Raw genomic sequence first — 26,046 nt, 5'->3', positions numbered from 1 at the left:
AAGGCAAAAAAAAAGAAAAAAAGAGGAAAATAATAATTCAAATTGTCCCTCTTTGAAGATGATATAATCTTATATTTGGAAAAACCTAAGGACTCCACCAAAAAGTTATTAGATCTGGTAAATGAATTCAGTAAGGTTGCATGATATAAAATAAACATACAAAAATCAGTAGTGCTTCTATACACCAACAATGAAATAGCTGACAAAGAAATCAAGAAGATAATTCCATTTGCTACAGCTACAAAAAAAAATAGGAATAAATTTAACCAAGTAGTTGAAAGACTTCCACAAGTAAAACTACAAAACACTGATGAAAAAAATTGAAGATGATGCAAACAAATGGAAAGATGTCCCATGCTCACCGATTGGAAAAATTAATATTATTAAAATGGCTATACTGCCCAAAACAATCTATAGATTCAATACAATGCCTATCAAAATACCAACATCATTTTTCACAGCAATAGAAAAAACAATCCTAAAATATTTATGGAACAAAAAGAGCCCAAATAGCCAAAGCAATCCTGAGCAGAAAGAACAAAGCTGGAGGCATCACATTATCCAACTTCAAAATAAACTACAAAAGTATCATAACCAAAACAGCATTGTATTCATACAAAAACAGACACATAGACCAATGGAACAGAAGAGAGAATCCAGAAATAAATCCACATACTTACAGCCAACTGATTTCTGACAAAGGCACCAAAAACACACAGTGGGGAAAGGACACCCTCTTCAATAAATGGTGCTTGGAAAATTGGACATCCAGATGAAGAAGAATGAAACTGGACTCCTATCTCCCACCATCTGCAAAAGTCAAATCAAGATGAATTAAAGACTTAAAGTAAGACCTGAAAGTATAAAACTACTAGAAGAAAACACAGGAAAAACACTTAAGGACACTGGTCTAGGCGAAGATTTTATGGCTAAGATCTTAAAAGCACAGGCAATAAAAACAAAATAGACAAATGGGACTATATTAAACTAAAAAGTTTCTGCACAGCAAAGGGAATTATCAGCAGAGTGAGGAGACAACCTGCTGAATGGGAGAAAATATTTGCGAAGTATTCATCCAACAAGGGACTAATATCCAGAATATACAAACAACTCAACAGTAAAAAATCAAAAAATCCCACTTAAAAGTGGGCAAAGGACATGAATAGACATTTTTTTTTTTTTTTGAGAAAGAGTCTTGCTCTGTCGCCCAGGCTGGAGTGCAGTGGCATGATCTCAGCTCACTGCAACCTCTGCCTGCCAGGTTCAAGCAATTCTCCTTCCTTAGCCTCCCAAGTAGCTGGGATTACAGGCATGTGCCACCACGCCAGGCTATTTTTTTTTTTTTTTTTTTGTATTTTTAGAAGAGACAGGGTTTCACCATGTTGGCCAGGCTGGTCTTGAACTCATGACCTCAAGTGATCCACCTACCTTGGCCTCCCAAAGTGTTGGGATTACAGGCATGAGCCACCACGCCCAGCCTGTATGTCTTCTTTTTAGAAATTTGTAGGCACTCTTAATACATTTAGACTAACTCTGTCATATATATTGAAAGTGTTTTCTTTTTGTCATTAACCTTTTATTGAGATAAAACTTACATACATACATCAGAATGCACAAATCATAAGTTTACAATCATGTGAGTTTTGATAAATTTACACATTGGTATAACCACTCCATCCCAATCAAGGTATATAATCTTTCTACCACCCCAGAAAGTTCCCTCATGGTCCTGTCTAGTCAATCTCCAGTCCCTCACTTCCAACACACATAGATAACCACTGTTCTGAAATACATCGCCATATCATTTTGCAAGAAATTTCAATTGACATATAATTTTTTTTCTGTTAGCACTTTAAAGATGTCACTCCATTCACATGACTTACCTTCTTTCCAATGAGAAGTCTGCTATTCTAATCTTCATTCTTCTGGATGTAATGTGTCATTTTCCTCTGTCTGCTTTTAAGAGTTTCTCCTTGCTTTCTGTTATCAGCAGTGTGAATATGACCTGACTAAGTGTTTTGTTTATTTGTTTGGAATCCATTGCTTCCTAAATATTTTGTTTGGTGCCTACCATTAACTTGGAGAATTATTGGCCATTATTTCTTCAGATTTTCTGCCTCATTCTCCTTTTTTCTTCTGGAATTCTAATAATGCTTAAGTCAGATCACGTGGCTGTAAGCTTAGTGGCTTAAAACAACACACACTTATCTCAGAGTTTTTGTGGGGTAGGAGTTCAGGCACAGCTTAGCTGGCTTATTCTTGGGTCTTACGAGGCTATAATTAAGTTGTCAGCTGGGTTGCATTCTCATCTGGAGGCTTGACTGGGGAAGGATCAAAGCCCCCTCAGATTCCTGGCAGAATTTGTTTCCTTGAAGTTGTAGGAATTATGGCACCTCGCCTCTTCAAAGCCAGCAGCTGAGAGACCCTTGAGAATAAGTCTGAGAGCAAGATGGAGTCTTTTATAACATCAGGTAATCATGGGAGGGACATCCCATCACCACTGCCATATTCTGTTGTTTAAAAGCAAGCCACAGGCTCTGTCCACCCTCAAGACAAGAGGATTATTCAAGGATGTGAACACCAGGAGGCAGGGATCATATGTCTACCTTACAACCTGTCCACCCCATAGGGGAATAATATTAAGGCAAGAGCTGAATCTAGTGTTTAGCGGAGGTCCTGGTGGGAGATACAGATTTTAGGATCATCAGCATATGGATGGCATTTAAAGGAATGGAACTGGATGAGCTCACTGAGGATGTAGATAGAAAAGATGTGCAAGGACTGAGCCCTGAGGTAAGGCACTCCGATGTTAAGGAGTCAAAGTGTTACCAGTGTGCCCTGGCATCTTGTAATCTCCCAGGATAGAAATAAAGAGAGATCAGCAGACATAGCAGCGAGGAGAAAGAGAAATCTTTATTTAGCTTGTGCACAAGGAAGTCAGCACCATGAAAGGAAAACGGTGGGGGGCCCCGCCGCCAGGGGGTGGCACGTGGGTTAGTTTCACAGGGAAGGGATTGGTCCAGGCATGGATAGGAGGGGTTTGTCTAGTGCTTCTCAGTAGCTTTGCATGCTTCTTCATGCATTGCATGCAACATTCACATTTTAAATCTCTACCCCTAGGTGTGATTTTTAGCGTGAAAATGAGGAAGGGGTAACAATAGTTGAAGTATAAGTCTAACTGCACATGTGGGGCCCGGGGAAGTCCCTAGGCCCCCAAAGCAGGAACTTGTGGTTAATAGCTTCTTGGGTCTTGTGCTGTGGATTGGCTGGATGTTAAGCTACAACTTGAGGAAGGGGCTTTCGTTCTTTTTCTCTACACCCCATCAAAACAGGCAAGCGGCCAGGCTGCCGGTTTTAAAAGGAGAGACTGGTAACCGAGACCCAAAGATGTGGTCTTTGGGATAAGAGGAAAGTGAGAGCACATGGTGTCCTGGATGGGGAGTGAAGAAAGCATGTGTAGCAAGAATGACTATCGATTTTGCTGTAGTTCCCGGAGGACGAGGACTGAGAACTGACCACTAACAATATAGAGATCACTGACAAAGAGTTTTTAGTGGAGTGGTTGTGTTACCGGAAAAGGGTCCTGATCCAGACCCCAAAAGAGGATTCGTGGATCTTGTGGAAGAAAGAATTCCAGGCCAGTCCACAGAGTAAAGTGAAAGCAAGTTTATTAAGGCAGTGAAGGAATAAAAGAATGGCTACTCCATAGAGCAGGGTGTTCCCAAAAGCACGAGGAGGAAGGCGTCCACCTGGGTACGCTTGTTTATATGTAAGATAAAAGCCAAAAAACATCACGGGGGAGACGTGCTGTACTACCTGGGCTCGTCAAAGGATTGCCAATCTTTGCATAACGCCTGTCCTCCGCAAGCATCTGTATCATTATCTTTAAAGCGAAACTTCAACTAAGAATGCTTCTTGTTCTTAAGATACCCGGACATCGGGACCTAAGTTCCGGGTCTGCTGCGTAAAAGTTTATTAACCTGTTCCCGTGACCGTAAACGCCCGACTCCTGGGGATGCAGCCAGCGGGGTTCAGCCTCAGTTTACCCAGCGCTGTTCGAGCTGGAGTCGCTCTGGTTGGAGCGCCTGACCGCGAGGGCCGAGGTCAGGCCGGACTGGGGTTCTCCGGAGCGAGCAGGAGAGGAGCGGGGCTCCTGCGGAGCGGCGCGGCGGGGAGGCCGAGGGCAGGGCGGGCTCGAGCTCGGGCTCTTCTGGCAGCGCCTCCATCCCCGTTCCGTTCACCCGGCAGCCGCCCCGTGGAGGAACCGCGCCCCATCTTTAGCCCTGTGAAACAGAAAGGCCCTTCCTCCGGCAGGCAGCTGAGGGAAAGATCGCCCTGCAGGGGATGTCGGGCCTGTCACTGCTTTGTTGCGGGCCACAGTTCCCTCCCTTCTCCGAGCGGGTCGCACGTCCGAAGGTCACCCCCGCCAGGTGGCTAGGCCCTGTCGCCACTCGACAGAGGACCGAGGAGGAACCAACCCACTGCCCAGACTGCAGCGCCGCCACGCTAGGGCCCGCGCCGACAACCGTCATGACTGGGCATGCGCAAACGGCCCCGCCGGGAGCCATTTCGCCGGGCTGCAGGGCTCGAGGAGAGAGCAGGTGCGCAGGCGCCGGGCGAGAGGCTGCGCCTGCCCTACCCTGGAGCGCGCGTGCGCGCGAGAGCCGGAAGGGGCGGTGCCTGGCGCGGCGCCTGCGCAGTGGGGCGGTGCCGGGGGCGGGGCGCGGCGGCTGTCAGCTGACTGTGGCGGCGGCGGCCTCGAGGTGACAACTGTCTCCGTCGCAGGCTCCGGCGGGGGCGCAGGAGGTCGCCCGGCGCGTCACTGTCGGGTCGGCGAGCCACGGGGGCCGCCGCAGCACCATGGCGACCACCGTCAGCACTCAGCGCGGGCCGGTGAGGCAGCCGGGCGAGGGTCGGGCGGGGGCGGTGACCTGCGGTTGCGGGCGGGGCCTTGGGTCAGGGCTACTGCTCAGCTGCGGCTGGCGGGCCGACTCCGCGGCTCTCCCGGGGCACGCGGGGCGCCTGGCCGGCCGGAGGGGAGCGGCGGCGTCCACACCTCGGGGCGGGGCGGGCCGGACGGACGCGCCCACGCTGCAGGAGGCTTGAGCTCACCGCCGTGCCGGGGCAGAGCTTTGGGGAGGCAGCCCCGGGGGAGGGGGCCTGCGCCCGTTGTGAGCCCCAGATGGAGGCGGGCCCCGTGCCCCATGGTGCCCCAGAGGGAGGCAGGCCCCGCTCCCCAATGGTCTCCAGATGGAGGAGGGCCCGGTGCCCAGATGGAGGCGGCCCCGAGCTCTGACTCCCGAATGGAGGAGGGCCCCGCACCCTAATGGTCCCCCAGGTGGAGGCGGGCCCTGAACCCTAATGGTCCCCTAGATGGATGCGGGCCCTGCTCCCTGATGGCCCCCCAGGTGGAGGCGGGTCCCGCACCCTGATGGCACCCTAGATGGAGGCGGGCCCCGCACCCTGATGGCCCCCCCAGGTGGAGGCGGGTCCCGCACCCTGATGGCCCCCCAGGTGGAGGCGGGCCTGCACTCTAGTTGGTCCCATAGATGATGGCTGTTTCCTCTTTCTCATTTACACAGAGTGAGGGCAGTGGTGACCACTTCTTGGGCCCAATTGTGTCCCCGGTTAGTGGCCACCGTGCAAAACCTCAGTTTCTTCATTTGCAAATGAGAGGATAGGCGCCAGGAACTTCAGAGAACCTTTCCTGCTCTGAATTCTCTCCTGAGAGTTGCCTGGCAGTTTCTTCTATAGCATTAATATTGCAGGAGAGCTGGTGTAGACTGACTCAGAGATGATGGGCTCCTGGCGTGAGTGGCCTCCTGGCTCACTGTTAGGGCCTTCTTGCATTGCTGTAAAGGAATACCGAGACTGGGTAATTTGTAAGAAAAGAGATTTAATTGGCTCCCGGTTCTGCAGGCTGTACAGGTAGCATGGTGCCGGCATCTGCTCCTGGGGAGGCCTCTGGAAGCTCCCAGTCATGGCGGAAGGCCAAGTGGGAGCTTACACGTCACATGGCGAAAGCAGCAAGAGAGTTGGGGGTGGGGAGGTGCCACACACTGTAATGACCAGATCTTGTGAGAACTCACTATCACCGGGACAGCACCAAGCCACGAGGGATCTGTCCCTGTGACCCACACACCCACCCTGCCAGGCCCCACCTCCAACATTGGGGATCATAATTCAGCGTGAGATTTGGCGGGGACACAGATTCAAACCGTGTCACTCACTGAGGCTGGGCTGGGGCAGGCTGTCGTGAGCGGTACAGTTTTTATCAACAGTGGCTCTGAACATGCCGTGGGTGGAAAAAGTCCTTTTTCACGATGCTCCAAGGTCCCTGCCCTCGCGCAGCCCAGTACTGGACGTGGTGGAGGGGTCACCAGGGCTCCCCACCCTTAACACTGTATCCACAAGTCCTGGTGTTTCTCCCGAGGAGATAATTCTTCAGGTAGAACATTTTTTCTGAGTTTAGAATGAAGCCCCAGGTTTTGGGCATAGCTGCTTTTTCTGAGGACTTTGAAGGAAACCTCCTGACACTTATGAGACTCAGGTGTGGAGCCTACGGGTCGGCAGAGGTCCTGGACGGCCTCTGATGGCAGCGTCTCTACCTCTTCATCTTTACTCCACCACAGTGAGTCCCCGCAAGTTGCCGTGGCAGCCAAGTGCTCCTTTCTGCCTAACAGGAGACTCAGAGCAACAAGGGAACCAGCACCCTGCTGTTGTGTCCTCCTGGAGAGCAGGGGGGCATGGTGGCCAGGCAGGATGGCCCCTTCCTTGCTGTGTGGTCTGGGAGACATCCTCTGCCTCCTGGGAACTTGTTCCTCATCTGGAACCCCACTGGGGTGTAGGACTGATTTTGAATGCATCAGGTGCTGAGCAGGCAGGGAGCAGTGGGAGGCAGGCCCTTCCTGTTCTGAGGGGCACCGGCGTGCAGCGCTGTTACACCCGCGATGAGGAAGTGGGAGCGGCAGGAGATGTTCTCACACGCAGGGCCTGTGCTGGCAAGTGCTGAGGTGTCGTTAGAATCTCCTCTTGCCCAGTGCCTCCTGGGCTGTTTCCATCATGTAGACGAGCAGGTATTTCAGGGGCACCCCCGTTGACCGGTAAACGCATAGTAACATGAGGTCTGGCTCGGAGCTGCCAGGGTCTCTTAAGAAGGTGTTGTCAGCGACGGGGGTCTCAGGTGTTGCTTGGAGTACATGTGACTTAATCAACCAGCGCTACCAACTGTGGCGTTCAGGATGGCCATGATGCAGGGGACAACCAGGTGGTTCCTGCCACTGGGGTCTTCCAGGGCAGCACGGTAGACATGGCAGCACATAAGGACAGCTGAGCTGTGTGGTGACGGCCCGGTGGGTCTGTGATCTTAAGCGTCAGGTGCTGGGAGAGTTTGTAAATGGGCCTCACCAGGGCTGGGTGTTGGGGTGAGGACGTGACATCTCTCGGAGGAGGAATGGGAGTAGGGGTTGGGCTGGGAGGGCAGGGCACGGAAAGAGAGGTGTGGGGTCTGGAGGTGGAGAGGAGGGAGCCCCAGGGGCCGAGGATGGAGGGAGGCAGGAGCTGGAGGCCGCCGGAGGGTCCTGGGCACAGGAGGACTGGACTTGCCCTGGAGTTTACCGGCTCAGCGCAGCACTCTGTAAAGTGTTGCCTGGCACACGCAAGGCAGGGCCCGCCTTGGCACCAGCCTGCTTCGCTGAGCATGACCCACCCCAGCCCCTCTGAATTAACCCATAGTGGGCCTTTACCCAGTTACTAGCACCTAGAGGAGCCCTGCTTTTGCAGGATGTCTTGACACAGTATTTATCATGTCCTCTTTCTGTTACACCTGTGGTGCCAGAGAGGCAGGAGGTTAAGCAGGGCGCTCGCTCAGCTTTCCAGCAGAAAGAGATGCTCCCCAGGGTCCGGGGGCAGGACTCTGGCTCGGGAGACCCTGACTGTGGTCTAGCCGTTGCCTCCCCCTAGTGATAAGGGGAGACGGCAAGATCCCATGGGCCGTGAAGGAGCAGAGGGGCCGCTAATGGGGTCCTGGGAGGGTTCTTTTGTCCTTGGGTAGAGGGAGCTTCAGGGGCCCGGGTGGGTAGGTGTGGAGAGGACGTGTGAAGCTAGCCAGCCCGACATCGTTCTGAGAGAATCATACCGTGTTTAGATCTTCAGGATAATGGTTCCCTGAATAGCCACTAAGGGATGCTTCAGCCCTGTGCAGTGCTTCCCTCACGTTTCAAAAAGGCCAGTATTTTGGAAAGATAACCTTTTTTCAATATAGTCTGCATATTATCAGAAAGCATGGGTGAGTACCTGCAAGGAGTACCATGTGGACCCCTGCGAGGGGTACCGTGGGGGCCCCTGCGAGGGGTACTGTGTGGACCCCTGTGAGGAGTATCATGGGGGCCCCTGCGAGGGGTACCGTGCGGGCCCCCGCGAGGAGTATCGAGGAGTACCGTGTGGACCCCTGCCTTCTGCAGTGAGATCTCGGGACGTTTGCGGGAGACTCCGCTGCAGCCACCGCGGTGCCGTCAGAGAGGCCTCCTTGGTAGAGGTGGGTGCGCTGTGCCGTGTCCAGGCTGCTCTGACTCCTTGTCCTGCTTCTGGAGGTGCTGGTTGGCCATGGAGTCCAGCTGGAGGCGGCCTGGCCCCTCCCTTCCTCCCTGAGAGGCCTGTTCCTGTCCAGGTCCCCTCACTCTTCACATCGTTGATAATTCCTGCCGAATCGGTGACTTCATTAGGGATGGCAGAGGGTAGTTTCTGAACTTTATCACTTCTTCGGTGTTTATTAACTGGGATTGTTTGTAAAGATTAGCTTTCCCCATCAACCGGTGTCGGCTGGCTGTCCTGAAACACAATTCGTGAAAGAAAGGCAAGTGAGATGCTTTTCCCTCATCTTCCCGTACCTCAAGGAGAGAGTTGCTTTTCTTTGTAGATGTGTGTGGGCTTTCTCTCCCCTGAGTGTTGTGAAGAGCCCGTGGATTTTCCTGCATCCTGTGTGTCTGAGCCAGTGGCACTTACCCGTCTCCGCTGGCTCTGGTGGGCTGCTCCTGGGAGGGCGTCCGTTCCTGCTGACTGCACCTGAGCCAGCGGGGAACGCACTCACCGCCTCCTCACGAGTCCTTTCTCTCTGGGTTCCTGTGAACCTTTGCGCTGGATTTTTTAGGCCGGGTTGTGAGTCTGTACAGGTGTGGAATTGCTGTGCTTGCCTGGAAATCACATCTTTTCACTGTGTGGGGACCCACGGGCCTCTTGGAAGATAAAGGCCTCTTGCCTTTGATTATTTTGTCTGATACTGGCATGGCCACCCCAGCTGTCTTTTAGAGAGTATTCACCTAGTACTTTTTCCTTCTATGATTTTACATTTTTCTGAAAACTTTTGTTTAAGACACGTGCACCATCGATAGCACGTAGCTGGATTTTTAAAAAGTCAAATCTAAGAAGACTAAGTCTTTTGATGGGAATGCGCTAGTTTCATCTTTCTAGTTAAGAGATGCCTAGATGGATACACAGATTTACAGATTTTTTACATGTTTTCTTTGGTGCTTTTATTTGTCCTACATTTTCTTATTTTTTTTCTCTCATTGCCTTTTGAATTTATTAAATGGAGTTTTAAAAAATTCAGTTGTTTTATCTCAAGTACATACACACTGTGCTGGGAAAGTACAGGGGCTCCCCTGGAAATGGTAACATGCACTTATCAGCTTCTGCCATGAGGGAGTCTCTGAGTGAACTCTGGCTCCGGAGGCTGCCCGGCTAAAGAATAAATAAAGAAGAAGTTAATCATTGTCTGTGCCACCTCCGGATCCACGCGGAGACCTCGGCCGCCCCGTCCTGGCGCGGGTGCTGCTGTGCCTTGTGTGGGTGCTACCTCCCCTTGGGGCTCCCGCAGGAATGTGTTACTTCTCTCGAGTCAGCGCTTGTTTAGATTTCCTTCTGTGTTTCTCTTTTCTTATCCCTTCTGGTGTCTCGGGCCTTCCATTTGGGGTCACTTTCCTTTAGCTTCAGGTTCATCTAGAATTTTCCTTGCTGGCAAACTTGATTTTTGCTTGTACATGCCTTTTCTCTGTGTCCTGACAGCTATTTTTGTGTGTGTGGAACTCCAGGTGGGCGGTACTCCAGGTGGACAGTACTCCCGGTGGACGGTCACTTGTCCTCAGTGCCTCGAAGGTGGGACCCCGCCCTCTCCTGGCTCCTGGAGTGGCTGCTGAGCAGCCCGGGAGTGGATGTCCCTTCCTCCGGCTTTCCTTCGTTTTTGGCCCTCTGTTTGCTGCCTTCTGAATACGCTGCTTCTGGCCTGCCTCCCAGTTCACTTGAGGTCTTTTTTTTTTTTTTTTTTTTTACATGGAGGCTCGCTCTGTAGCCCAGGCTGGAGTGCAGTGGCACAATCTCAACTCACTGCAACCTCTTCCTCCCAGGTTCAAGCGATTTTCCTGCCTCAGACTCCCGAGTAGCTGGGATTACAGGCGTCCACCACCACGCCCAGCTAATTTTTGTATTTTTAGTAGAGATGGGGTTTCACCATGTTGGCCAGGCTGTTCTCGAACTCCTGGTCTCAAGTGATCCGCCCACCTCAGCCTCCCAAAGTTTTGGGATTACAGGCGTGAGCCACTGCACCCGGCCCTAACCTCTGTTCATCTGGGCCTCTAACACTGTCCCTTGACCTGCCCGACAGGCCCCTGGTTAGGCCTGCTGTGCAAGTGTTTCCTGTCCCTGAGTCACTGTCTCCAGATCCTGCGGGCCCTGCCCTGGCACCGTGCTGGTGAGGCCTGCCTTGCTGCCCTGTGGGAAGTGCAGCGTGCCCCTGCCACCCGGCCTTGCCCTGTTTCTTTGCACAGCGCCTCCTGCCGTTAGCATACAGCATAACTCATGATGCTTCCCGTTTGTCTTCTTCCACTCACGTGTAAGCATCCCAGGAGCAGGGGTGCCCCAGCACCTCACCATGGAAGCCTCAGGCACACAGTGACACGCAGAGGCTGCCGCAGCGCGCGCCCTGTGCCCGGCGCCCAGGGCCTGCCACGTCACATGCCGTCCCTCTCTGGATCTCTGTCCGCCCTTGGCCTGCTGCTTGACTGGCTTTTGTTTCATCTGAATGAGAAGGGGTTTTCCGCCTCTGCCTTGCTTGACCGTCCCAGCACTTAGGATGCAAGGCTGCCTGCAGTGGAGTTCCTGGCAGAGACCCCATTTAAAGTCGCTTGTTCTGTAGTCAGCTTTTATAATCTATGCTTATTCTCATTCTGTCCTGTACTCTTCCCTTTCACCGCTCTTCAGCTTACACGGGTTCGTTTCAATACTGTCATCTCCCAGCTTCCCTTACACAAATTCTAGTGTTTGCTTTGAGACTTTAGCAGAGCCAGGGAACCTCCCGGCATGTTGGCTTTGAAGCGCCTGTTGTGTTTTGTATAATTAAAGGAAGAGGGGAGGGGGTGATAGGAAGAGGGAAGGAAAGCCCTGTCTGAGGAAGGCCCCGGAAGGGGAGACAAGGCACGGCGAATGAGTGCTCAGCGAGGGCTCCTGGGAGGGGGCTGCTGAGCGGCCGTGGGAGGAGGATGTGGGAACTGGGGACAAAGTCACCACTGCCCGTCCACACTGGCGTGGGAGCTGCCTTGCCAAGAGCAGTTGCATGAAATGCCACTTATTTGCTCAAGGGTTGTTTATTGAACATGCCAGTGCCAGGAGACTGGCGTGGAGCATGAGGCCGAGGCTGGCTGGAGTGGGTTTTGGGGAGTGTCAGGAGGCTGGTGTGGAGCGTGAGGCCGAGGCTGGCTGGAGTGCCAGGGGCTGCAGGGTCAGGTACTGGTCCAGCTTTTGGATGCTGGTGCTGTGAAGGGTGGTGGGTGAGGGAGCCAGCAGCTGAGTGGGCATGGGGAATTGCAGTTTTCCTTCTAGCCTTATTTTGGAAAATGCTAAACTTACAGGGCAATGGCAGTGGCCACCAGTGAGTGTCGGTGAGTCCTTCACCTCCACGGGGCTCCCCTCTTGGCCGTGAGTGTGCAGGCCTGGGGCATGTGCAGGCTGGCACTTCAGTCTCTGAAACCCTGCGCACTGAGGGGTCAGTCAGCTGGGCAGAGGGACCGCCAGGGCCACCCAGGGTCTGTCCTGACTGCCCACGGCCCTGTGTCTCAGCCCTGGTGCGCGTTCCCGCCCTCTTGCACGCCCGGATCTGGATGTGAATCACACAGGTGTGCGGGCATCGGGTGGATGGGCCATTTCTCCTGGGCCAGACTGAGCTCTGACCTGGGTGTGAACCTAGCAGCAGACATCCCCTGTAGGACAGTGGCCTGGAGCAGGCCCCTTGCAGGGCCTTCAAGGCAGGGCCAGCCCCTCAGACACAGCAGGGAGGCTGGTGATGACCTGGGCTCCAGGTTCTCAGCTTCATCTGGACCAACTGTGCTGTTCTATGTGAGTCCTGGGGCCCTGACCGAGTCTGGGGCTCCCTTCCTAGCAGACACTCAGACCTCGCCCAAGAGGCTTTGAGACTGACTTCCGCCCATATCCCTAGATGTTCCTACTACGGGGGATTTATTTCTCTCTGTTTCATTAGCTTCCTCTGTCCCTTTAGCCACGAGCCCAGCCCAGGTCTTCCTGCTGTGGGTCCCAGCTCTGAAAGTCACGTTGAATCATGGCCATGTTAGGAACTGGAGAAACCTAGGGCTCAGGGTACAGAGTTTCACTAGTTGGGCTTCTGTGTTGGGGCCTCCGTGGGCTGGCTTTGTGGCTTCAGGAGTCCTTGACGCTTGTTCTCAATGTGGGGGTGATATTGACCCTGAGAGGGCACAAGGGGTTCTTGGGGGAGGAAACTTCTGGGGTTTGGCGGCCGTGTGTGCCTCCCCAGCACAGCTCCTGGATTTCTTGCTCCTTAGTATTTCATTGTCCCTGGGTTTTCTGGGTGTCCCAGCACATGGATACGGAGTTCTCGGAAGCCCGCGACACATGTGCGATCTCAGACCTGCTGTGAGGTGGGTGGGGAGGGTGGGCAGGCGCCTGCGGATGCCGTTTGTGTGGGATCCTCAGTGCTGGTGTGAGACTCTGGCTTGGAGAATTGAATGAGAATCGTCGACATTTTGTGATTTAATTCCACAGAACGTATTTAGCCCATCGCTAATGATGTCAGTTTGCTGAAAGAATACCAGCCAGCCAGTTAAAAGGTACTTTCTCACATCAAGCAAAAGCTTCAGTTCACTAAGGATATTTTTTATTGTGTTTATATAAGTTGTTTATTTCTACGTGTGATTTGATACATTACAATTTATGTAAATAAATTACACTCAGCGCTGCTCAGCGCATAGTCATGAAGTGCTAGAAGCATTTTAGTTTTTAATTGAACTTCGTTCGACTTAGTTATGCTAACCTGGCGTTAGCGCTGAGACTCGTTGAGCCTTGCTTGCAGTGTTTACATGCCAAGTGCAGGTGCATGCGTGGCACACAGACACAAACAGCACCTCCACAGCCTCGCAGCGTCATGGGGTGGGAACGGTGAGAAGGTTTAAAAAGGCTCCGCAGGGGGCCAGTCATGGAAGTGGCCAGGAAACCCTGGTCTCCTGCCGCCTGCGTGTGGCCAGCCGTGCTTCAGGGGCGACTGTGGTGCGGCTCCTTGGGGTGATGTCTCCTGGCAGGCGTGAGGCCAGGACTGCATGTGTTCAGGACTCCACGTCCTGGGCTGAGCTGGGCTCTTCCGGGGCTCTGTCAAGGCAGAAAGTGTGGCCCAAGGAAGCAGCGGCACTCTCAGTCGGAAACGTATTCCTAACAGGTGTCGGGCAGAAAGTGTGGCCCAAGGAAGCAGCGGCTCTCTCCGTTGGAGACGTGTCACCAACAGGAATATTCACAGTGGGTGTTTAATTTGTGTGCTTAAAAAGAAAAATTAGCTTTGGATTGACTACACACATTGCATGACAAAAAAGAAGAATTAAGACTTTATTTCTGTGCCAAAACTAAAACTTAGACTTGAAGAGAAATTGTTTTAAATAGAAGTGAATGTTGGAGACCTCTTTTCTTTCGTGTGGAAAGGTACGCTGCAGTGGTTTAGAGCTCTGGCGTCAGTGAGGGAGGAATGGTCGTCAGTCACAGGCTTGCGTCGTGATCCTCTGAGAGCGGCACATGGGGGAGGAGAATCAGCAATTCCAAGAAATTTGAAGTTACATTTTAAAACTATATTTAAAACAGACTAATATTTATAAAAGTAGCTTTTATTTTCAGAGAAGATAAAATGCTGTGAGCTCTGTGGGATGAGAGCCCTACCCTGTCCTTTTTATTTTAAAAGTAATTCACGAATGTTTTTAAAAAGTTTCTAAAAATAACTAGCAGGATATAAAAGTATAAATAAATTGAAATAGAATCTTCCCTGCCTGTTTCCCTCGAGTTCCATTCCTGAATGCTCCTCCAGAGTTGGTGTCGACAGAGGCCTCCTTATGGCTCCCTGCAGCAGGTCGTGCCGCACCTCCGCCTCCGCCTCCGTCCCCCGAGTCTCCATGTGTTCGCGGCAGGGACCGCCGGCTCCTGGTGAGGCCGCGTGGCGATGCGCTGGGTGGATGTGCCTGGCTGGTGGACGGGGCGTTTTGACGGCACAGGTGACGCAGCCTCAGGCATCCTGTGCTCACGTGCCCGAGTGAGCATTGACAGGGGACTGGCTCCTGAAGTGGAATTGTTGGCCTTCACACGGGCATTTAGACTTGTTAGTGTTGAACTCAGTATGTGCATCTTGTACATGGAAGCAAAATTCTAGAAAAATATCCATTATGTATCGGGAGTAATCATTTTTGTTTTCATATTTCCAAGCCTTTGAACCAGGGTAAAGCATATATTTTTATGTGACCATTGAAATAGTTCCTCCATCATCATATGGCAAAAATAAATTTTAGGATTAGCACTGAATTTAAAAAATAAATTCAAAATAGACATTTACTGAAGGACCGAGTGTCGTCACTGAAACGATAGGGTTTACTTCAGCACCTGGACTCTCTCCCCTGTGACTCGTGAAGCATGAACTGGTAGCACTCCCTCCTCGTTTGAAGGGCTTTGCTCTAAGTTGAGAAACGAGGGCATTGCAGCAGCAGGCAAGCCGCCTCTCCCTGGTAGGCGGGGCAGCAGGTTGCGTAACCAGTATTTGTACGGGGAGGACTGAAGCCTGGTCTCCGTCTCCTCTCTTGCTCTTCCTGTCTTCAGGTTAAATGGAATATTTTTCTGAAAAACCTTGAATTTTGTAGTGTTCAGTCTTATGACGAATTGAAAAGCTGGCACGAAGAGGTCCTGTGTGTCTCACCCATGTCCCCTGGCCGACGCTCCCCTCCCCGGGAACAGCTCTCACAGCTGTGGCGCTGAGCTGGGGGCATGACTGTTGGCTCCAGGTTTTATTTGGCTGTCCTGGTTTTTCGATGACTGTCCCCTGCTGTCCCAGCACCCTGCCTTGCGTTTAGCCATCATGTCTGCCATCTCCAATCTGGGACCGTCTCTCAGGCTTTCCTTGTGTTTTTGGGACCTTGACGGTTTGAGGACGACTGACTGGTCAGGGATTTTGTCAGATGTCTCTTAATTGGGGTGTGGGTTTTTGGGAAGAAAACCCAGATGTGAGGCGTGTGTCATCTCGGGGAGCTGGACGCGCACCTGCCCCGCCACATGGCGCTGGCTGCGGTCCCCGGGCTGCGTGGGGCTGATGAGCTCCATCCGCAGGGAGCTGCTTCTCCCCTTTTCGTGTTCTATCCACACGGTTTATGTTTAAAAACCCTCTTTTCCTATTTGCCATTTTATGGTTAAATCCTTGTTGAAAAATGACACTTGATCATTAGGCCTTTGGATATAATTTTATTTTCTCCCAGTAATGAGCAGTCCCACTGTCTTTAACGGACACCTAAAGAGTGCAGAGCAAGGAGATGGAGCGCTGGACGCCTTCAAATACCGGGACAACCAGGATCCAGAGCAGCGAGGGACCCACAGTGCTCCCTCAGAGGCCTCTGGACCCCACGCCCACACGTCCCTGTGACCACCCACACCCTCCCCCGACTGGCTTCTCCATGCTGCTGTCTCCGGGACATGAGTCGCCTGTCTGTCCCCCACGTGTGGCCAGGAGGGCATGAGCCACCTGTCTGTCCCCTACGTGTGCCCAGGAGGGCACGAGCCGCCTGTCTGTCTGCCATGTGTGCCCAGGAGATACGGTGCTTTTCCTGCCATGTCCTCAGAGCTGTGCATGTGGCACACAGGAAGCAGTTGTCACAAATAAACAGGAATTTGGCCTGTGTATGTTAGTCCTGAGAACTTGGTTAGCACGAGTCTGTTTCTGCAAGATAACCCGTTCCTGGTGAGCAGACAGAGCTAGTCATAGAGCCTGCTGGCATGGGCTGTGCCAGGGCCCTGTGGGGTTGGCAGGGAAGCACGTCCTGTGTGGCCAGGTGTCCCCCGGGGAGAGAGCTCTGGGCTGTGAATCCTTCTGGGAGGCAGGCGAAGGGCCCTGGCCTTCTGTACCCCAGTGTTTCCTGTGTGCCAACAGGAACAGGTGCTTAGCATCTCGTGCCATGGGGCCTCTCAGCGCCCTCCTGAGCCAGAGCTTGCTGTTGAGCTGTACAGCGCCTCGAGAGAGGCTGCCTGGGGGAGGCTGGCCTGGGACTCCTGGCATGGGCCCACTCCGCTCAGGCACCTCTGCACCCTCCTCGATTGTCCGTAAGGGCAGGGGGTCCCTCCGGGCCCTGGCCTATGCCACACCCTCCGGAGGTGAAGCCGGGGTGCTCTGCTTGTTCTCGCAGTACGGCTTCTCTCACAGGGCAAAGGTCACTCGTGACGTGTCCCAGTCAAAAACGGGGTAAAGTGTGGGGAAACGCACAAAGTGTGTTTTGCTTTTTAGAGAAGAGCGGTTGAGCACACGCCATGCTGGCTGCTCAGGTTGGGGTGCAGCCTGCAGAGAGCTTCCCGAACTTGGGGGTCCTGAGTCCGTAACTGCTCGAAGCGGTGCCTGGATCGTCCGGGTCCCTTCTGTTTACTCACATTGGTTGTGGAGCGCTGACTGGCTTGTGCGCTCCAGGCCTTAGATGGGGACACAGGTGAGGAGCTAGACCCTCTCGGGGTCCTTTGAAGTGCCAGGCGCCCAGAGCACAGCAGGTGCAGGGCTTAACTCAGAACCTCCTGGAGCCCTGCCTGGCACCGTGTCATTGGGAGTCCATGGCACAGGCAGGTACGGGTTTCTGGTGTGCATGGCAGAGGCGTTCTGGCGGCCTCAGCACGTGCACTTTGCCTAAGCTCACGTCCGACACACCGAGGGTTCCAGGTTCCACTCGGTATTTCCTGAAAACAACTGCCCAGGGCACTGGCGCTGACCGGGGCCCCTGCAGACGGCTGGGTCTCCACCCCACTCCACCAGCAACCAGGCCTCCACCCCACTCCACCAGCAACCAGGCCTCCACCCCACTCCACCAGCAACCAGGCCTCCACCCCACTCCACCAGCAACCAGGCCTCCACCCCACTCCACCAGCAACCAGGCCTCCACCCCACTCCACCAGCAACCAGGCCTCCACCCCACTCCACCAGCAACCAGGCCTCCACCCCACTCCACCAGCAACCAGGCCTCCACCCCACTCCTCCATCAACCAGGCCTCCACCCCACTCCACCAGCAACCAGGCCTCCACCCCACTCCACCAGCAACCAGGCCTCCACCCCACTCCTCCAGCAACCAGGCCTCCACCCCACTCCACCAGCAACCAGGCCTCCACCCCACTCCACCAGCAACCAGGCCTCCATCCCACTCCTCCAGCAACCAGGCCTCCACCAGCAACCAGGCCTCCACCCCACTCCACCAGCAACCAGGCCTCCACCCCACTCCTCCAGCAACCAGGCCTCCACCCCACTCCACCAGCAGCCAGACCCATGCTCAGGGCCTCATCAGCGACCTTTCACCTGTGGAGCATGGTTTACCCCAGGCCCCTTCGGCCGCTGCAGGTGTGCGGGTGGTTTCGGGATGGCATTGTCCTGCCTGGGCCCATCCTCTCTCTTCCCCTCAGAAGTGGCAGTGGTGGACAGAGGGTCGAGGAGACATAGGATGCAGAGTGGGGAGGTCTTTCGTGGTTGTTTGGAATCGATTTACTTCCTGCGTTCTTCTGGGATACTTTTGAATTTCAGCTGTTTCATGTGGAAACATTTGAAGTATATCAGCAGAGGGTTTTCCAAATCACTTTAGACCTGAGGCTCAGCTTTTGTCTCATTCGTTTGACCAAGTGACCTGCAGTTCAGTGGCCCTGCCTTTAGCTGTGGACAAGGAGAAAGAAGCCGTGGGCACACATGGTGCAAGGGAGACCCTTTAAAATGACCTGAAAACCCACCTGAGCAGGCTTTGAGGACAGGAACCCATTTTTAGCGGCAGAAACCTGCATTTGGGGATCTCCTGAGTGAGGGCTGCACCTGTACCGCTGGGGGCCAGGCCCCAGGCTGGACACCCTTGACCCCTCCGTTTAGAGATGAGGAAACTGAGGCTGAGCACAGTCCAGGACTTGATAAGGACATGGGTGGGGGCGGGGCCGCGGGAATGCCGGGGGCAGCTGCTGTCGGGCTGCTTTGTGCCCCCACCCTGACTCACTGGCCTCTCTGGTCCCCGGCCCCGCAGGTGTACATCGGTGAGCTCCCGCAGGACTTCCTCCGCATCACGCCCACACAGCAGCAGCGGCAGGTCCAGCTGGACGCCCAGGCGGCCCAGCAGCTGCAGTACGGAGGCGCAGTGGGCACCGTGGGCCGACTGAACATCACGGTGGTACAGGTGGGCCTTGGGGCACCCTCCTGCCTGCCTGGGGCTGGTGCGCTCGGTGGGGGTGGGATTTCGGATTTCGGCGTTTATACTGCATTTCCTAAGCGGGCAAACAGAACTTCTGATTCCCGCTTTTCCTGAAACCTGTGTGATGTTGAAAACGATCTGTGTGAAAGATATTGGCATTGACCCCGGGTTCTACCAAACATAACTCAAGTGATGAGTAGTGGGTGTAGGTGGGCGTCTGCTCTGTGTAGGGCCTGGCTCTTCCACCAGGCTTGAGTACGCCCAAGGACACCTCCCGGACCCCCGCCGGCAGCTGGAGGAGGCGCGGCCGGCACCCCCGCCACCTGGTGTGTGCTGCGTGAGTGGCTTCCTGTTGGCCTCAGTGCCGGTGCCTGCACCCTCCCTCCCCACAGAGCAGCCCTCGGTCAGCCTCGGGGCCGGCCCGTGGTTGCTTAGTGGTCTTTCAAGTGAAAGCCAAAATCGGCAGATTGAACGCCGATTTTGATCACACGAAAACCGTCTGTAAGACTGCAGGAAAAGGAAACACACTGTGAGCCACGCAGGCTTTCGTAGAAATGCAGGGAAAGGAGACACACTGTGAGCCACGCAGGCTTTCGTAGAAATGCAGGGAAAGGAGACACACCGTGAGCCACGCGGGCTTTCGTAGAAATGCAGGGAAAGGAGACACACCGTGAGCCACGCGGGCTTTCGTAGAAATGCAGGGAAAGGAGACACACCGTGAGCCACCCGGGCTTTCGTAGAAATGCAGGGAAAGGAGACACACCGTGAGCCACGCGGGCTTTCGTAGAAATGCAGGAAAAGGAGACACACCGTGAGCCACGCGGGCTTTCGTAGAAATGCAGGAAAAGGAGACACACCGTGAGCCACGCGGGCTTTCGTAGAAATGCAGGGAAAGGAGACACACCGTGAGCCACGCGGGCTTTCGTAGAAATGCAGGGAAAGGAGACACACCGTGAGCCACGCGGGCTTTCGTAGAAATGCAGGGAAAGGAGACACACCGTGAGCCACGCGGGCTTTCGTAGAAATGCAGGGAAAGGAGACACACCGTGAGCCACGCGGGCTTTCGTAGAAATGCAGGGAAAGGAGACACACCGTGAGCCACGCGGGCTTTCGTAGAAATGCAGGGAAAGGAGACACACTGTGAGCCACGCGGGCTTTCGTAGAAATGCAGGGAAAGGAGACACACTGTGAGCCACGCGGCTTTCGTAGAAATGCAGGGAAAGGAGACACACTGAGCCATGCGGGCTTTCGTAGAAATGCAGGGAAAGGAGACACACCGTGAGCCACGCGGGCTTTCGTAGAAATGCAGGGAAAGGAGACACACTGTGAGCCACGCGGGCTTTCGTAGAAATGCAGGGAAAGGAGACACACTGTGAGCCACGCGGGCTTTCGTAGAAATGCAGGGAAAGGAGACACACTGTGAGCCACACGGCTTTCATAGAAATGCAGGGAAAGGAGACACACTGAGCCATGCGGGCTTTTGTAGAAATGCAGGGAAAGGAGACACACTGTGAGCCACGCGGGCTTTCGTAGAAATGCAGGGAAAGGAGACACACTGTGAGCCACGCGGCTTTCATAGAAATGCACAAATACAGCAGGCAGAAGAATCGCCGTGGACCTCACAAATAAGACTTGCTTTCAGGGGCTTCATGGTGTGGTGAGCACAGCTACACCGTCACCCCTTCCTCGCGGCGTGTCTCAGACCCTTGCTTGTGCAGCTGTTACTGTGCTGGTGTGGCCGATCCCTCTGCCCACCCAGTGAACTCCCGTAAGCCCATGCATTCCTGTGCCAGCTGCCACCAGGCCAGCCAGTGCCATCACCCGTCCTCAGCCGCCACCTCCTGGCAGGGCCTGGTGACCGCAGGGCACTCCACCTCACACAGTTCAAGCTCCAGAGCTGGCTGGGCCTTGGAGGTGGCCCTGGCGTTGCCCACGCCTCTGGCCCCCCTTGGTCCTCTCCCGCACCCTGGAGCCCACCACAGGCAGCCTGTTTCCTCCACGTGAGCTCACCCAGCCTTCTGTGGCGCAGCTCCAGTGGTGGGAAACATTCCTGCCTCCTCACTGGGCCAGGTAGCTCAGCCCCTGTTTCCTGCTTCTCTTGGCTTCTGGGCGGCCACACAGGTGGTTCCCTGCTTGCGTCCCCTCGCTGCTTCCCCTTGTTGTCTCCTGGGGCCCCAGTGGGATGCCAAGGGGTCTGGTCCTCAGCCCTCCTCCCCTCTCTGCCCACACATCCCGGTGACTTCTGCATCCCTGTGGGTCTAAACACCCATGTGCTGGCCCCAGCCTGAGCCGACCACTCAGCTCCACCCCAGATCCCTAGGTACGGACCATGGCCACATGGCCTCCCCAGGTGTTCCGTGGGCACTCCGGACTCCGTGTGCCCAAGGTGGAGCTCTCGGGCCACCCTCCCGGCTTCTCCCCCGTGTCCGCAGGTGGCTGCCCCACACTCTGGAAGCTGAGGCCCAAAGCCCTCGTGCTGCTGGTGCTCCAGGTTCATGTCCACCTCTTGCCCTTCAGGCCTGACCCTCAGCACAGGCGCCACCTTCAGCCCGTCCAGGCCTGGAGCCCCCCGCACCCACCCACTGCCCCCGCTCAGCCCCTGCAGCGTGGCCAGAGTAGGTCCGTTCCCGCGTGGGCCTTTCTCGTGGGCACTGTCCTGCCGAGCCTGCTCCAGCTGGGCCCATGTTTTCCTCACCCTAGTCACTCCTGACCTTCCTCTTCCCTGGCCGTTCTCCTCCCGCTTCCTGCAGCTCTTCCTCCAGATCCTGCAGCCCGCATACCCGGTCCTCCTAGCTGGTCACTCCCTGCAGTGGTAACGCCGTCTGCTGCGCTGTGTGTCTGCCGCGCATCTCTTGCCCATTGTGGGGAAAGCAGCGGTGCCCGTGTGTCCCCACGGTGTCTGCTGTCTGACGTGCGTCTCTTGCCCGTTGTGGGGGAGGCAGCGGTGCCCGTGTGTCCCCACGGTGTCCACAGTGTCTCCTGCACCAGAACAGCATGTGGTTGTGTGCAGTCATAGTGAATGGGCAGATGCTTCCATAAACATCGAGGAGGTCACTTCAGCAGAGCAGTTGATGTCACAGGACGCTCATCCTAGAGTTTTCTAGCCACAGTGCAGAGGGCAGTGGGAGGAGATGGGAATGAGAGGATGACGCTGAGTGTGGCAGAAGCAGGCAGGATCCAATGTGAGCAGGCATCGGTGACAGGCACGGGCATGCTGGCAGGGGAGTCCCATGTGCCACCCAGAAAGCTGGCTTTGCTCAAAGCCTTTAAAGTTATTAATAAAAATAAGTCATAGCAGCTAGGCAGAGACAGCACAGTTACCTGAAAGCTTTGGAAAATCATGCTGGTCTCAGACTTTCCTGCTACATACTCTCCAGAAAATAGGGCAGTTGCTAAGGAGTTTACAGGGGCAGAGTTTGGAGTGTAAGAGCTGATCTAGCAGATGTGTGGGTGTGCAGCAGAAGGGAATTGGAAGCTGCTAGAGGCTGAGCATGCCTGTCGCCCAGGAGCTTCCGGAAAACTGTCACTCCATAGCATTCCGGAGTACGCTGTGGCCACCCAAGAAACACGCTAAAATTAAGGACCCAAGAATGGGGCAGTTTTGACCTAAAAGGACCGGCCACAGCTTTGATTAGAAGTGAAAGGAGGGAACTTGTATGTGGACAAGAATAGAAAACAGAGGACCTGGCAGTCCAGAGATGTGGGCACAGGAGGGGAGAGTTCAGCTGTGCGGCGAGGGTTGGCGTGGACGGGACAGCCGTGCCCTCGGGGGTCGGTGAGGACGGGGCGGCCGTGCCCTCAGAGGTGGGTCGGTGAGGACGGGGCGGCCGTGCCCTCAGAGGTGGGTCGGTGAGGACGGGGCGGCCGTGCCCTCAGAGGTGGGTCGGTGAGGACGGGGCGGCCGTGCCCTCAGAGGGGGGTCAGCGAGGACGGGGCGGCCGTGCCCTCAGCGGGGGGTCAGCGAGGACGGGGCGGCCGTGCCCTCAGAGGGGTGCGGTGAGAACAGGGCGGCGGTGCCCTCAGAGAGGGTTCAGTGAGGACAGGGTGGCCGTGCCCTCAGAGGGGCGTCAGTGAGGATGGGGTGGCCGTGCCTTCGGGGGGTGGGTGGTGAGGACAGGGTGGCAGTACTCTCAGAGGGGGGTTGGTGTGGACAGGTTGGCCGTTCCCTCAGAGGGGGTCGGGGGGCAGTGTCTGGACTCTGTTCCACTGGGAAGGAGGAACTGGCGGGCTCCATGTGGGTGGGAGGGCCGGGATGGCTCCCGGGGTCTCTATCACCAGCTCCTGGGGGTGAGCCGGGTTGGCTGCAGGAGAGCGGGTGGCAGTGGTACAGGGAGGCCGTCTGCATTCCAGGCAGGACGCTTTACAGGCAGCCGGAGCTGCAGGGCTGAACCCAACCCAGCTTACGAGGGCTTTTCTCCTGGTTTTTTCTTGTAAAGGTTTTACAGTTTTAGGTTTTATATTTGAACCTGCCATCCATGTTGAGTTTGTTTGCTGAACAATCATCTTACTTGCCACGGTCTTCTGTCTTATTCTGAACACACGTTCACTCCCACCCCGAGGACCTCAAATGTCCCTGCCCAGCTGAGCACCTGGCCTGAAGTCGAATCTCATGGTCTACATGTGATGTGGCTCCTTGTGATTGGGAGACACAAGAAAGACAAGTTCCAGTCCCCAAAACCCCACGTACTCCGATAGCACAGGCAGGGCTGCTGCCTTCACGAGGGAGGAAAGCAGCCACGTGGCGTCTGAATTATGTGCAGCAGGTGTCCTCACTCTCACCTAGAGCGAGGATGCACCTCTCCCGGGTCATCATGCTCCGGGGGCAGGTTCACACTCCATGTCATGCTCTGGCTCTCAGCTCTGTCCCGGGACCTCCTCCTCTTTCCCTCCTCAGCCACTTCTGAGGAGGGCATTAGAGAGTGCGCCCTTCATGGTGGGTGAGTGGCGGCCTCAGCTGTGTCTGTGAGCGTCGTAGGTTTCTGCTGTCAAGGACGAGCCACGTGCTTTGTCTCAGAACTGCACGATCCATCTGTGGCTCACTCTTCTTGCTCCTGGCCTCCTGGGAAGCAGGTCACAGCCGTGTTCAGGCGACTCTGAGTGGCTGTAGTCTATGTGTTAGGAAAAGGCCTCGTGGAAGGGTTCAGGGAGGCAGACGGCCTAGAGAACCCACCCTCTCCTGATGGTTGGCACCTCCTTTTCCTGACATTGGCTTCATTCCAGGCAAAGTTGGCCAAGAATTACGGCATGACCCGCATGGACCCCTACTGCCGACTGCGCCTGGGCTACGCGGTGTACGAGACGCCCACGGCACACAATGGCGCCAAGAATCCCCGCTGGAATAAGGTCATCCACTGCACGGTGCCCCCAGGCGTGGACTCTTTCTATCTCGAGATCTTCGATGAGGTGAGAGGGACGTGCCAGCTATTATGGAGGCTGCACGTGGCTGAGCGTGGCTGCCGTGGGGACACACCTGCCAACACAGCCACGTTCCTGGCTGGCTTCGAGGCGTGGCTCCCCACCTGGTGTTTCATTGGGTGCATGACAGGGTCCTGCTCTCCCCAAGGAATGTGAAAAAGGGATTGTTTCCAGCTCCTTGAACATACTTACATTTGGAAACATCCCCAGTGACAAGCATGACCCAGGGATACAGCGTGCACGTGTCCCCTCCGCTGGGCGCACAGGGTCTGGCCGCTCACCAGCAGGTGGGATTTCCAGGGACAGAGCGTGCACGTGTCCCCTCCGCTGGGCACTGATCTGGCCGCTCACCAGCAGGTGGGATTTCCAGGGACAGAGCATGCATGTGTCCCCCGCCACTGGGCACTCGTCTGGCCGCTCACCAGCAGGTGGGATTTCCAGGGACAGAGCATGCATGTGTCCGCCCCGCTGGGCGCACAGGGTCTTGCCGCACACCAGCAGGTGGGATTTCCAGGGACAGAGTGTGCACGTGTCCACTGGGCACTCGTCTGGCCGCTCACCAGCAGGTGGGATTTCCAGGGACAGAGCGTGCATGTGTCCGCCCCGCTGGGCGCACAGGGTCCGGCCGCTCACCAGCAGGTGGGATTTCCAGAGAGTGCGGCTGCCTACTGGGTGGGAAAGCTGTTCTTGGTGGTGCGAATGGTCGTGACCCTTGAGGGTCCTGAGTCCCGTCCGTGGCTGCACCTGCAGCGCTTCTGAGGCAGAGTCAGAAGGTCAGAGGGGATGTGGCGAGGCTGCTGCTCAGTGTGGTCCTGGCACCTCGCACCTGTGGCATTGTGAGGCTAGAGACTGGGTGGGGGCCGGGGAGCAGTGTGGGGCAGCCAGGCCAGCAGACGGCCAGCCCTCCCTGCCTGGGCCCTGCCTTTTCCTCCCGGCTTTTCTCTCCCCGTCCCTACCTGCTTTCCCCTCCCTGGCCCTCAGAAGAGTAGAGAGCGCATGGGAAGTGCAGAGTCAGCTGTGGGAGGCAGACCCCGTGTCCTTTCCAGTCTGCACCCCGGCTGCTCTGGGGCTTGACAGGTGGCAGCCGGTGGAGCAAGGATGGGGCCCCGAGGGCTGGGGAGGAGCAGCCAGTGTCCCTGAAGTGGAACTGAAGGAGGACAGCAGCCCAGGGCCCTCGCTTTCCCCAGCCCCAGACCTGGCCCTGGCCCTGGCCCTGGCCCATCCTGGTGGAGAGAGGGAAGAAGTCCCCTACGGAGGCTGATATACGATCGTGAAGCCTGCGCTGCCCGAGGGGTCTCATCGATGGGGTGTTGGTGCAGGTGGGAGCCCTGTTCCACAGATAAGACGGGGACTCGAGGCGGGCCCACGATGGTGCGGCTGCAGGGGCAGGGTGGCCCCTTCCCTGATGCCTGGGGCCTCTCCCTCTTGTCTCCCGCAGAGAGCCTTCTCCATGGACGACCGCATTGCCTGGACCCACATCACCATCCCGGAGTCCCTGAGGCAGGGCAAGGTGGAGGACAAGTGGTACAGCCTGAGCGGGAGGCAGGGGGACGACAAGGAGGGCATGATCAACCTCGTCATGTCCTACGCGGTGAGCTGCACGCCTGGGCGGGGTGGGGCGCATTGGGGTATGTTGGAGCACGTCGGGGCTATGCCGCCCCACAGACACCCTTGTCTCTTTCCTGGAGGCACTGAGCCCATAAAACAGCAGGGCTCACGTTCTGAGGACAGAGGGCAGGGGCCCTGGGTGGTTTGGTGGCAGAGAGGGGCTGCCCTGCCCACTGCTCCTGCCCATGTTCTCTGTCTGGGGAAACAGCATAGGGGTTGTTTGTGTTCCTAAGATGAGCCAACCCTTTGTGGTGGTCTCCACTGCAGGCCCCTGTGTCCTCGGAGGACCCCCAC

General features: G+C 55.5%; 1 protein-coding gene and 1 long non-coding RNA gene across 10 annotated transcripts in view, besides 8 other annotated features; one reads left to right on the top strand and one right to left on the bottom strand.

The window, feature by feature from the left end:
• Positions 2,907-3,036: a silencer, noted in NCBI's record as "silent region_3053". NCBI's record gives its function as "represses an Ori minimal core promoter by ATAC-STARR-seq in GM12878 lymphoblastoid cells {active_cell/tissue: GM12878}" and the evidence as "EXISTENCE:reporter gene assay evidence [ECO:0000049][PMID:35858748]".
• Positions 3,570-4,331: an enhancer, noted in NCBI's record as "H3K27ac-H3K4me1 hESC enhancer chr11:1331258-1332019 (GRCh37/hg19 assembly coordinates)". NCBI's record gives its function as "activates a minimal SCP1, AML or CMV promoter by ChIP-STARR-seq in naive H9 embryonic stem cells {active_cell/tissue: H9 hESC(naive)}" and the evidence as "EXISTENCE:reporter gene assay evidence [ECO:0000049][PMID:30033119]".
• TOLLIP-DT (TOLLIP divergent transcript) lies at positions 3,652-4,651 on the bottom strand. Its single transcript, NR_029409.1, has one exon. It is a non-coding gene; the product is annotated as a TOLLIP divergent transcript (long non-coding RNA).
• Positions 4,562-5,271: a silencer, noted in NCBI's record as "silent region_3052". NCBI's record gives its function as "represses an Ori minimal core promoter by ATAC-STARR-seq in GM12878 lymphoblastoid cells {active_cell/tissue: GM12878}" and the evidence as "EXISTENCE:reporter gene assay evidence [ECO:0000049][PMID:35858748]".
• Positions 4,727-26,046, top strand: part of TOLLIP (toll interacting protein) — a 35,262-nt gene continuing 13,942 nt past the window's right edge. For 2 of the 9 annotated variants that reach the window (NM_019009.4, XM_047427136.1), the window contains exons 1-4: positions 4,727-4,893; positions 18,565-18,714; positions 23,950-24,132; positions 25,583-25,735. In NM_019009.4, the coding sequence (NP_061882.2) occupies positions 4,861-4,893; positions 18,565-18,714; positions 23,950-24,132; positions 25,583-25,735 (519 nt within the window). In that variant the 5' untranslated portion in view covers positions 4,727-4,860. Of the gene's footprint in view, positions 4,894-11,568; positions 11,776-14,346; positions 14,482-15,794; positions 17,904-18,564; positions 18,715-23,949; positions 24,133-25,039; positions 25,464-25,582; positions 25,736-26,046 lie in introns of those variants that run through there. The other 7 variants (XM_047427134.1, NM_001318514.2, XM_047427135.1 and 4 more) reach the window with 7 other exon arrangements.
• Positions 10,885-11,408: an enhancer, noted in NCBI's record as "H3K4me1 hESC enhancer chr11:1324181-1324704 (GRCh37/hg19 assembly coordinates)". NCBI's record gives its function as "activates a minimal SCP1, AML or CMV promoter by ChIP-STARR-seq in naive H9 embryonic stem cells {active_cell/tissue: H9 hESC(naive)}" and the evidence as "EXISTENCE:reporter gene assay evidence [ECO:0000049][PMID:30033119]".
• Positions 11,409-11,932: an enhancer, noted in NCBI's record as "H3K4me1 hESC enhancer chr11:1323657-1324180 (GRCh37/hg19 assembly coordinates)". NCBI's record gives its function as "activates a minimal SCP1, AML or CMV promoter by ChIP-STARR-seq in primed H9 embryonic stem cells {active_cell/tissue: H9 hESC(primed)}" and the evidence as "EXISTENCE:reporter gene assay evidence [ECO:0000049][PMID:30033119]".
• Positions 11,933-12,456: an enhancer, noted in NCBI's record as "H3K4me1 hESC enhancer chr11:1323133-1323656 (GRCh37/hg19 assembly coordinates)". NCBI's record gives its function as "activates a minimal SCP1, AML or CMV promoter by ChIP-STARR-seq in primed H9 embryonic stem cells {active_cell/tissue: H9 hESC(primed)}" and the evidence as "EXISTENCE:reporter gene assay evidence [ECO:0000049][PMID:30033119]".
• Positions 14,479-15,210: an enhancer, noted in NCBI's record as "H3K4me1 hESC enhancer chr11:1320379-1321110 (GRCh37/hg19 assembly coordinates)". NCBI's record gives its function as "activates a minimal SCP1, AML or CMV promoter by ChIP-STARR-seq in primed H9 embryonic stem cells {active_cell/tissue: H9 hESC(primed)}" and the evidence as "EXISTENCE:reporter gene assay evidence [ECO:0000049][PMID:30033119]".
• Positions 15,211-15,942: an enhancer, noted in NCBI's record as "H3K4me1 hESC enhancer chr11:1319647-1320378 (GRCh37/hg19 assembly coordinates)". NCBI's record gives its function as "activates a minimal SCP1, AML or CMV promoter by ChIP-STARR-seq in primed H9 embryonic stem cells {active_cell/tissue: H9 hESC(primed)}" and the evidence as "EXISTENCE:reporter gene assay evidence [ECO:0000049][PMID:30033119]".

This window comes from Homo sapiens, chromosome 11 (genome assembly GCF_000001405.40).
Source record: "Homo sapiens chromosome 11, GRCh38.p14 Primary Assembly".
In the NCBI taxonomy this organism is placed as follows: domain Eukaryota; kingdom Metazoa; phylum Chordata; class Mammalia; order Primates; family Hominidae; genus Homo; species Homo sapiens.
Note: the sequence above shows the minus strand (reverse complement) of the source record. Positions and strands in the feature narration are given on the sequence as shown.